The 11,838-nt window shown below is 53.5% G+C and overlaps 1 annotated feature.

Annotated features, from left to right (window-relative positions):
* Positions 9,652 to 10,152: an enhancer, noted in NCBI's record as "H3K4me1 hESC enhancer chr12:110049030-110049530 (GRCh37/hg19 assembly coordinates)". NCBI's record gives its function as "activates a minimal SCP1, AML or CMV promoter by ChIP-STARR-seq in naive H9 embryonic stem cells {active_cell/tissue: H9 hESC(naive)}" and the evidence as "EXISTENCE:reporter gene assay evidence [ECO:0000049][PMID:30033119]".

The raw sequence follows: 11,838 nt of genomic DNA on the forward strand, positions 1-11,838 counted from the left end.
ACCTCACACCTCACACCTCATGTCCTCAAAACTGAAACAGACAAGGGCAATGGTCTCCCAATGAATGCTTCAGTTGCTTGAATCCAAAAGTGTCAGGGTCAGGAGGACCCTTGGAGATCACACAGTCCATCACCTCGTTTGCTGTGAATGCGGAGACCAAGACTCAGAGAGGGCAAGAGATTGCCTAAGGTCACACAGTGAGCCACCTTGTCCTCTTCCTTGCCATTTGGTTTTCTCCATGCGGCAGGGTTGTCACAGGAAAAGCACTTGCAATCCAGAGATCCGTCTTCAGGCCCAGCTTCTGCACCTGCTGGCTGCGTGACTTCCAGCCGGGACTCCTCTGTACCCCCAACTCGGCCTCAGTTTCCTCAAATGTAACATCCCAGGCAGGGTGCTAAACCCCTCAGGCATCATTCCACTTACTTCCCACAGCAACCCTGCAGACCAGGTACAACAGAACCACAATTCTTTGTCCAAAATCCTGGGGCCAGATGTGATGTGGAATGGAGGATTTTGCAGGTTTTAGGGAGACCCCCTCCCGGCCCATGTTTCATTCCACGTGGCATCTGGGGCAGCACCACCAACCCCTGACTCTATATGAAAGGTACGAAGAGTCCCACTAAGTCGAGTGAAGGCCATAAATAATATGTGAGCCTATGTGGCACTGGCCTTTTTTTTTTTTTTTTTTTTTTGAGACAGGGTCTTGCTCTGTTGCCCAGGCTGTACTGCAGTGGCAAGATCACAGCTCACTGCAGCCTCGACCTCCCAAGCTCAAGCAATTCTCCCACCTCAGCCTCCTGAATAGCTGAGACTACAGGCATGCGCCACCACCCCCTGCTTCTTTTTCTACTTTTTGTAGAGATGGGGTTTTGCTATGTTGCCCAGGCTGGTTTCCAGTTCCTGGGCTCAAGCAATCCTCCCACCTCAGCCTCCCAAGGTGCTGGGATTACAGGCATGAGCCACCATGCCCAGCCTGCTGCATTTGCTGACAAATGAATTTTGATGCCAAGGCCCTGGGTTTCAGAGTGTCTTGGGTTGTGGGCCTGAATTATTTCCCCATTTTGCAGAGAAGCAGACAGATGCTCTCAGACAGGCTCAGTGGCTCACCCGAGGGAGTGTGCTCAGGTTTGAACCCTGTCAGTCTAGCTGGACGAGACCTCCTGCACCGCAGGGTCTGACCAGGGCCCTTCTTTGTCGCTCAGGGTGAAAGGGCTCTGTACTGGCCAGTGGGGGGTGAGACGCCATTCTGCCTGGTGCAGCGTGAGGGCAAGGGGCCCCGGGTCCCAGGTACACTGGCTCAAGCTATTAAGTCAAACCAGAGTCTTCTGTCTTATTTTTTTTCCACCATAAACCTTGTAATGTGACAAACGAGGCTGCAGAAAAGTGGCCAAGTGACAGGTCCATGACATAGCTGCCGGACTCTCTTGGGGTTTCTGTTTCCTCCCAAAAACCAGGGAAGCAATGAGGGGGCCACAGCCCGAGGGAGAGGGAGGGGGCTCCTTCTCCTCCCAGACCAGCCCCTGCCTCCCTCCAGACCTAGGGAGGGCATGGGGGAGGCCTGAGCGCATTGATTCTCACCACACTCAGGCTCACAGAGCAGGGAGCCACTTACTTGCACAGAGAGGGTAAGAGACGGAATGCCAACTGAGCCTCTTTTACAGGCATCTGAGCCCAAACCTCCATGCTCCCTCACTCAGATTAACAGGGTCTGTTATACGTGGTTTTTCGTTTGTTTTTTAATCTCTCTCTCTTTTTTTTTTTTTTTTTTTAGAGAAAGGGTCTCCCTCTGTCACCCAGACTGGAGTGCAGTGGCGTGATCACAGCTCATTGTAGCCTTGAACTCCTGGGCTCAAGCAATTCTCCCATCTCAGCTTCCTGAGTAGCTAGAACCACAGGCTCATGCCACCATGCCTGGCTATGTGTTTTATTTTTTTGTAGAGACAGGGTCTCTATGTTGCCCAGGCTGGCATGTTGTCCTGGGCTCAAGCGATCCTCCCACCTCGGCCTCCCAAAGTGTTGGGATTACAGGCGTGAGCCACTGCACCCAAGCTGTTATACATATTTTAAATCTGATCAGGAAAATATCCATTTTGAGGCATTTGGGTAATGCACTGGCTGAGGCCACGGTGGCCCCCTTGGATGTTGAAGGGGCACCGAAGCTGTCCTAGGCACATGGGCATCCTCCCTGCCCAAAGAAAGAAGCTGCCAGACTCCACAGCCACTGCAGGCAGGATCCAGCCCCTTCTTCATGAGCACTATCCATTCAGCAAATGTTAAATGCACACGTTCTATATGCCAGGAACTGGGCCAGGCCCCAGGGAAGTGAGGTGACTGACCAGAGCTGCTCCTGCCCCGCTTCGGCATGCTGGCCGTGGTTCCGGAGGCTTTCGTGTCACTTCCTCCGCCCATACTCATGGCGAGCCCAGGAGGAAAGTGTGGTGAACCCCATTTTACATAGCAGGAAACTGAGGCCCAGAGAGGAAGTCTCTGCTCCAAGTCATGCAGTCATCAGGTGCAGAAGCTCGGCCCTGAGACAGGTCTCTAGATTCCAAGCACAGTGCTCTCCTGTGTCACCCTGGCTGTCTTGGCCCCAGATGTGGAGGTGAGCATTTGTGGGAGAAGGGAGGTGAGCAGGATGTGGAGAGGGGAAGGCAAGGAGAAAACCAAATGAAAGAGGACAAGGTGGCTTGCTGGGTGACTTCCGGCAGGTCTCTTGCCCTCTCTGGGCCTCATTGTCCCCATCCATTGAAATAATGGTGTCTGTTTACTCTGCCAGAAGCTCCGATGCTCTCATTTAATCCTCCTAGCAATCAGTATTTTGTGGACTCTGGGCTCAGACAGATCTGGCCTTTGATCTGTGGCCTGACTACTTCCAGCTCTGGGGCCTTAGGCAGGTCACATTATTTCTCTGAGCCTCAGGTGCCTCATCAGTAAAGTAGAAATACTAGGAAATAATGCACATCTAAAACATAGCTCAGGCTGGGCGCAGTGGCTCATGCTGTAATCCTAGCACTTTGGGAGGTCGAGGCGTGCAGATCCCTTGAGCCCAGGAGTTGGAGACCAGCCTGGACAACATGGCAAAACCCCGTCTCTACCAAAAATACAAAAAAATTAGCCGGACATGGTGGCACATGCCTGTAGTCCCAGCTACCTGGAAAGCTGAAGTGGGAGGACTGCTTGAGCCCGGAGGTCAAGGCTGCAGTGAGCTGAGATCGCGCCATTGCACTCCAGCCTGGGCGAAAGAGCGAGACTTCATCTTAAATAAATAAATAAATAAATAAATAAAACGTAGCCTGGCACCTAGTACTTAGACTCAGCACCCGGGGGATAGGAACTATTGTTATTATCAGAGAGGGGGAAACTGAGGCTCAGAGAGGCGACGCGACAGCTCAGAAGTGGCCAAGCCAGGATTTGAATCCAGTAGGACTGACTCTAAAGCCTGGGGCCTCCTCCCCTTTCATCACTAGGCAAGGCTAGGTTTTGCTGACATGTCCTGTCCCCAGAGGGAGATTAGAGGGAAGAGCCACCCCTTTCAGCCCTGAGGGACTTAAGCAACTAGTTGGATCTGGCTGGGCTGCCTGAGACCACAATGTGAGCCAGTGATGATCACAGGTCTGGAAGTTGGAGGACACAACCTTGGAGGAAGAGACTCCCCTCGAACCGAGCACCTGCCTTCTGTTGTCAAGACAGCCACATCTGCTCCATTTCCCCTTTGACTTCACTGGGCAAGGGATGTTTTGTGCACACAGCTGGCCTTGTCCTTGGCAGGCATCAGAGCGGCTCTCACTCGCCCCACGTTACCATCTCCTACCATCTGCCTCAAAGAGACACATCCACCACTTGATGGACGTTGGTCCATCAAGATCATTCCCCGATAGAGCTACAAGGACCTACACTCTGCAGATGAGGAAACTGAGGCACAGAGATGGGTCACGCAGTATGGTTGTGGCAGAGCTGGGACTCAAACCCAGGCTCTGAATGGCTGAGGGTGCTGGGTCAAGATGGGGCATCCCAAGGTCAGGAAAAAGAGCAAGAGAGCTGCTAACGTGTCCTCACTGGCCCTGGGAGATGCTAGTACCTCTGCTGATGCCAGTAGTCAGTTTTGACCAGAGTTGGCTCCACGGAGGGCTGAGGGCACGTGGATGCAAGAGTCACGGCTTTGATGAGGAGTAGGGTGAAGGTGTGTGGCGAGGCCAGGATCGGGACTCCCCACCTCCCCACCTGCCTTGTGTGGTTGAGGAGAGCACTGTGCAGGGAGCCAGCATTTCTAAATGCTGTGTGACTTAGGTGAGTGGCTTCCCCTTTCTGGATCTCGGTCTCCTTTTCATATCTGAGATGTTATTCCCAGACCCATGAGAAGCCCCCGGGGGCCGTGGCCTGGTCTTGTTCCCCGCCTGCATCTCAGCATCACTCTGATAACCTCTCCCTGCTCAGGGGTCTCAAACTCACAAGCCTCCAGGGACCAGGCAGGCAGCCACAAGCCAGGCTTGGGGAGGACGCGGCAGGCCCCTGGCCCCAGCTCCAGCCAGCTGTTGCCCTGCAGGGTGGTGAACCCACCATCCAAACCTTTCTATTTAATTTTTAAAAAGAATTCAGAAATCTGGAGTTGTGGATAAAATTTGATTTTTAAATACCGTTCAGTAATAAAACCAAATTTTAAACAATAACAAATGATTATGTCAAGCCCGGGTGCAAAATGGAAACCACCCCAGGGTTGAGACCTTCAGAAGCCGGGCCCCTCTGGCTCTGGGGAGTGAGCTGGGGCATGGGGGTCACCCCCAGGGGTGGGGCCCCCCCTGGAATCTGATTACCCCTCAGTGCCCCACGAAGCAGCAGGCCTGCGGGTGGCGGGGCGGCAGGGGCACCGGCGGCTGGGTTGTGAGCTCATCCCCGGGAGGCACAGATGGTATTTTTTTTTATCAGTGTCAGCACGGACTTCTTTCTGCTCTGATGACTAGATTCTAAAGAGGCAGTGACATTATTTGAGATAACAGAGGGAGCAGAAAAAGGGTCAGCAATGGAGAGAAAACGGCAGAGCCAGCAGATAAAGGGGAGGCCGGAGGGGGCGGAGCACCCTCGCTGGGGGTGCACCCCCCCATTCTTGTGATTCCTGCTCCCTAAGCCTGGCTCCCTGTGGTGGGGGCTGGAATGCCGCCCGGCCCAGGGCAGCGGAGAGGCCCAGACAGCTGCGCCGAGCCGCCCGCTCTGCTCCCCGGCAGCCCTCCTTGGCTGCCCGGCCGCCCATTCCGCCTTTTCAATTCGATTCAATTAGGCCGCCCCGCTCGGAAGCTTGTCTCCTCTGATATCCAGTTTAACTGACAGGGGATTAGTGCTGTTTGTATTACACACACACTCTCTCTCCGGCTGCCAAACTGCTGGCAGGGCCCTGGGACCCGGGTTATTTATGGAGCTGGCTGGCCATACCTTCCCTCTCGGACCTGCTTCCTTTGGAAGCAGGGGGCTGGGGGCCCTGCTCTGTGCTCCCCCTCCATCCCAACCCCACCACTTCCTGATCCAGGGGCCTGAGGGCCTGGGCAATGGAGCAGAAGAGCCCAGATAGAACTGGGTTCGAATCTCAGCTCTGCCACTTGCTGGCTGTGTGACCTTGGGTGAGCAACATTGCCTCTCAGCCTCAGTTTCTTTATGTGAAAAATGGAGACGAGGAACCGGCTCATCAGGTGGTTGTGGGGATAAAGCGAGGAGGCAGGGGCAGGGCACTGAACACAGGGCCTGCGTATTCACTGTGCATGTTCACTCAGCGCATGGGACGGGGTGACGATTCTGCACTGGGTGCTGTGCTGAGTCACAGAGGAGGTAGTGGTGGGCCATGCTGATCCAGCCTGCCTTCCAGAAGCCCACACTCAGGTGCAGGAGAGAAAAATGAACATGGAGTCCCTCCCGGTGCTCACACAGGGAGCCCTGGCTAGATGGGAGCATTGATGACAGTGATGATGATGGAGATGGAAACAAGTGCCACCCCAGGCCCTTTGCCTCTGCTGTTCCCTCTGCCTGGAACATCCCCCCGACCCCCCCACCCCCGCCACACACACACACACCTCCTCCGCACCCTCACACTTCACCTGGCTGGCATGTGGCCTCAGTTTACCACTCACCTCCTCCAAAAGCCTTCCCTGACCCACCCTCCTCCTAATGCAGTTCTCCCCTCTTGCCCTCCATCTCTCCCTTTGCTTTATGTCCAAATGTGCCATCTGTTGTTGACTTGTTGCATCGCCTGTCTCCTCAGGAAACTGCGCCTTCCTGAGGGCACACATAGGAGCCCACTCACCGGTCCCCCTGAGTCTAGCACAGTGCCTGGCTCATGCTAAGAGCTTGAGTCTTTCTGGATGAATGGATGCATAAAGGAATGAATGAATGAACAGAGAAGTAGACAGACAAAGGCCCCCTTGCCTGCAACATGGCCATCCTGCTCAGCTCAGTACATCTGGCTTCCCTAGGCCACCTGCCCAGCCCTCCAAAGGGGTTTGCTGGGTCTTGGAATAGGTGGAGGTCAGGTGCTGGTCCAAAGCAGGTGTGGATGCTTCTCTTCTTATCCTTGCTTTACTCAAAGGGAAGGAAGGGCCTTTATAGACCTTTCCTCTCAGCATTCAGGGGACTAGTGAGTACTTTGAGGTGATGGGCTGGAAGGCCCCAGGCCTAGGAAATGTCCTTATTTTGGGGAAGGGCCTCATGCTGCCAGGTCCCGTCTGCATCTTCTCCCTCACTCCGTTTCACAGATCTTGGGTGTGGGGGCACTGGCCCTGACATGCAGGTCTGAACATTTCTACAATTCAATGCAATGAAATAGTAGCCATTACTTACTGCACACACTGGTGCCAGGCTTAACACCCATGACCTCATTTCATTCTCACAAGAGCTCTCCATTCCCCAGAAGAGAAACCTGACAGTCAGAGTTGTGGTGGGGTGTGCCTGACATCACCCAGCCAGGAAGGGGTGAAGCTGGGATCAACCCCAGGACTCTGAGGTTCAATATCTGCTCATTCATCTAACATCTGCCATGTGCCAGACACTTTGGTGTGCGCTGTCTCCCGATGTCCTGAGAAGTAGGTATTCTATGCCCCACTTTGCAGAAGGGAAATTTGAGACTCAGAAAGGTGAAGTGGCTGAACCTCAGTCTCACAGCCTGCTAGGGGCAGAGCTGGCTGGAAACAAGGGTCTGCTTGAGCTCTCATCCAGTTTATAACCTCTACCCTGTGGTTTCTTCCTCAACTCAAGGCCCTGGCCCTGGGGTGTTTCAGATCGATATAGGGCGTGGGTGGGCAGGGAGGGCACACATCTATCAAGCAGCAGGTGCTGAGTTTCTCAAGAGCCCCTGAAATATGACACAGTCCCTGCTGGTAAGGGAGATGTCATCCAGTTACAAGAATATCAAATAAATATGTAAAGAGTTACAAGAATTCAATGACATATAGGAATGTTGAGTACTCTCCCAGGGTGCATGCGTGACTCACAAGTCTGAGCAGTTGGGCAGGGAAGGCAACCTTGAAAGATACATGGATTTGGAAACAGAAGCCCACAAAATAATCATTACAATTACAATGAACTGATCATTATGATGATGATAATAATCATTAATAATGACTACAATTCAGCCCCATATTTGTAGGTCTTGCTGTTCCCATTTCACAGACAAAGATAATGAAGCTCAGAGACAGGAAGCAGCATGCCTAAGGCCAGCCAGCAGGTAGATGGGGCTCAAGCGCAGAGCCTTTGATCCCAAAGTCAGTTCCTCTTCTCCAGCCCTGGACTCGCAGAGTGTCACACTCACAGAGTGTCACAAGTAGCAGGTGGTCTGGCCTGGGTCTTGATGGTTGAGCCAGCATTTGTTTCAAGGGCCAGCTTCTTGGCCAAGGGCCAAGTGTGGCTGGGGCGGAGGTATCCGGTGGAGGTACTGCCTGAGCTCAGATGAACCCTTCCCTGCCCTCCAGGGCTTACAGGGCAGAGCAAGCTAAGCAAACTGATGATGACAGTGAAGAGCAGTGGATTCTGAGTTACCATGGGAACAGGGAAGAAGAGGGGTGCCTCTTCTTCCTAGCCTGGCATGGGATCAAGGAAGGCTTCCTGGAGGAAGAGGTACCTTGGTGGAATTTTGGCTGGGCTAGAAGGTAAGAGAGGGCATTTGAGGCAGCAAAGGCACTGAAGTGAGCAATACCGTGGTGTGCGCAGAGAATCCAAACGCTGTTCTGTGTTCAGTTGGAACCTACAGTAAGTATGAGGCCAACATAAAGCAAGTTTTATCCTGAGGGCTCTGGGGAGCCAGGGTGGGTGTTAGGCAGGGATGGTGGGGTCATAATGATGCTTTATAAAGTTCTCTGGCTGCGGCATGATAAATGGAGGGGCAGGGGGAAAGGAGTCAGGTGAGAGGTACAATGGCTGGAGAGGGGCAGTGGCATTAGGGACAGATGGAGAGGAGGTGACAGATAGGAAGATTTTGTAGGTGCCTGGAGCAGCCTTTCAGTTTTGGAGTCCACCTTGTCACTCTGTTCAAGGAGCGGGTATACCCTGCTCCCTTCTTTTGAGACTGGTTCTCACTCTGTCACCCAGGCTGCTGTGTGGTGGCACAATCACAGCTCACTGCAGCCTTGAACTCATGAGCTCAAGCCATCCTACCACCTCAACCTCTCAAGTAGCTGGAACTACAGTCATGTACTAGTATGCCTGGCTAATTTTTTACTTTTTTTTTTTTTTTTTTGTAGAGATGGGGTTCTTGCTATGTTGCCCAGGGTGGTCTCGAACTTCTGGGCTCAAGCAATCCCCCACCCCTCGGCCTCCCAAAGTGCTGGGATAACAGGCATGAGCCACTGTGCCCGGCCATATACCCCTCTTTTGATAGTCTCCAGCTGGAGGTGGGGCCTCTTTTGCCGATGCCCTAGTTGGCATGGAAGCCCTTTATAACGGTGTTCTAATTAGGGCTCCCATAACAAAGTACCATAAATGTGGTGGCTTAAAACAACAGAGATTTACTCTGTCATGGTTCAGGAGGCCAGAAGTCTAGAATGAAGGTGTCGACAGGACCAGGGACCCTCTGAGACACTGGGTCCTCTGAGAACCCTCCCTTGCCTCTTCCTAGCTTCTGGTGGTGGCTGGCAGTCCTGGGCTTGCGGTTGCATCACTCCAGCCTTGGCTGTTGCTGACACATGGCCTTCTCCCTGTGTGTCTGGCTTCACATGGCATTCCCTCTTATAAGGACAGCAGCCCACCCTCATGACCTCATCTTAACTTGATTACATCTGCAAAGACCTCATTTTCAAATAAAGTCACATTCATGGGGATCCGGGGTTAGGACTTCAAAATCTCTTTGTGGGGGACACGATTCCACTCCCAATAACCCCTAAGGGGCTGGGCATGGTGGCTCATGTGGGTAATCCTAGCACTTTGGGAGGCTGAGGTGGGAGGATTGCTTGAGCTCATGAGTTTGAGACCAGCCTAGGCAATAGGGTGAAACCCCATCTATACAAAAAATACAAAAATTAGCCAGGCACTGTGGTAAGCGCTTATAGTTCCAGCTACTTGGGAGGCCAAGATGGGAGGATGGCAGGATGGCTTGAGCTCAAGAGTTCGAGACCAGCCTGAGCAACATGTCGAAACCCCATCTCTACAATAAAATACAAAAATTAGCTGGGTGTCGTGATGAATGCTTGTAGTCCCAGCTATTCGAGAGGCTGAGGTGGGAGGATGGCTTGAGCCCAGGAGGTAGAGGTTACAGCGAGCCGAGATTGCACCACTGCACTCCAGCCTGAATGACAGAGCCAGACCTTGTCTTAAAAAAACAAAACAAACCCTAAGGGCAGGGGTTTTGCTGGTTGTTTCTGCCTCTGTGGTCTCCAGCCAGAGCCTGGCATATGTCTGTGCCAGAGGGGAGTTGTGGATAGAGTCAGAGTGTCCAGTCTCTCCCCGTGGGTGACCGCAGCCCCTGCTGCCAACAGCAGCAGCCACAGCCCGCTTGGCATCTGGGCAAGGCAGGTCTCCCGGGAAGCCCCCTCCCACGGGCTGTTCTCCGAAAGAAGTGGTGTTGATGTCGGCAGGTGCCTGTCACTTCCCTTCCCCAGCAAAGTCTCAAACTGTCAGAATAAGTGAAATAGTCATTGCCTATCTCTGCGTTTGAGATTTTATTGGCAGTTTCATTGTCACCCAAAACAACCTCCTTTTCTCCGTTGGCGTTTTCATCAGATGGGTCTGTGGGCAGGAGGAGGAGGCAGGGCTGGCTCCTAAAAACAGGCCTGGGCAGGTCATGGTGCTGGCTCCACTGGGCTGGAGTCAGCAGGGGCAAAAGACCCCGTGGTGGGCTCTGCCATGCCTTGGCTCCTGCAGAAAGCTGCTGGGCACTCTCTCCAGGGAGCAAAAAGGAAGTGAGAGACGGAAGGTAAAAACACCCTGAGAGCCCCTGGAGATGGTCACAATGGCCAGATGGGGCAGCCCAGACTGCACAGTGGGTCCTCAGGCCCTTCCCCAGTCCTCCCTGGTGGGAATTAGGGGGGCATTATGGTGGTGGGGTAGGAGCATGGGCTGTGGCATCAGACCCACCTGGCGGCAGGCACCTCAGAGCAAGCACTTCTCCCTGCAGAGCCTCAATGTGCCTGTCTGTCAAATGGGGTGGTAACAGGAACCTTCCATCAGCTGAGGGCTTGATCTGGGCCACACACCCAATTATCCTGTTCAGTCCTCCCCAGAACCGAGAGAGGTGGGTGTGCTCAAGCTCTTCATTTTCTTGATATGGAAACTGAGGCAGCCCGACCAAGGTTACCACAGCAGGCAAATTGCAGGGGTTGGGTTTGAATCCAGGCTGTGAGACTCCAAGCCTGGTTGTGAATCCACTTTGGAGGGTTAGTGGAAGGAGTGTAGGTGATATTATTTTTTTTTTTTTTTGAGACAGGGTCTCACTCTGTTGCCCAGGCCGGAGTTCAGTGGTGCGATCACGGCTCACTGCAGCCTCTACCTCCCAGGCTCAATTGATTCTCCTACCTCAGCCTCCCAAGCAGCTGGGACTACAGGTGTACACCACCACACTCAGCTAAGTTTTAATTTTTCCTAGAGGCGGGATCTCTCTGTTGCTCAGGCTGGCCTCGGACTTCTGGGCTCAAGTGGTCCTCCCACCTTGGCCTCCTGAAGTGCCAGGATTACAGGTGTGAGCCATTGTGCCCGCTGGTAATAAAGTGTCAACAGAGTACTAGGCACATGGGACAAAAAGCCATCTGTTATTGTTGTCTGGGCATGGGGTAGAATCTGGGCCCCTTGGCAGTCACTCTCTGTCCTGGGACTTTCTGGACATCACTGGGTAGTTTCACCCACAGGGTGGCCTAAGGAACCTCCAAGGGAATGGGGTGAGCTCAGGAGTTCCACTGAGACTGGGGGTCCCTGTGTGGGGCTCAATCCTGCTTCATGCTGTGATCCTGCTGGTGTACTCTGTCCCTGGCCCCCAGCAGGGCTGGGTGCCACTCTACCACATCCAAGCATCACAGAAGGGAATCTGAGGCCCAGAGAGCTGTCCCTTGCTCAGGGCTCCTGAGCCAGGGAGGTGGATACAGTGGTTAGAACCACAGATTGTGGAGTCAGTGAACTCCATGTTTGAGTTCTGGTGTGGCCACCTGCTGGTTGGTTAACAAGTTGCTGAGTCTCAGAGTCTCAGTTGCATCCTCTGCACATTGGGATAATAAAGGATTCCTCTGGAGACTGGGTGCTGTGGCTCTCACCTGTAACCCAGCTACTCAGCAGGGAGGTTGGCTTGAGCGGGGGAGTTCGAACCTGTAGCCCCGGTGCTACTCAGCAGGGAGGCTTGCTTGAGCCCGGGTGTTTGAGGCTGCAGTGAGCTATGATCACACC

Source organism: Homo sapiens, chromosome 12, assembly GCF_000001405.40.
Source record: "Homo sapiens chromosome 12, GRCh38.p14 Primary Assembly".
Lineage (NCBI taxonomy): Eukaryota > Metazoa > Chordata > Mammalia > Primates > Hominidae > Homo > Homo sapiens.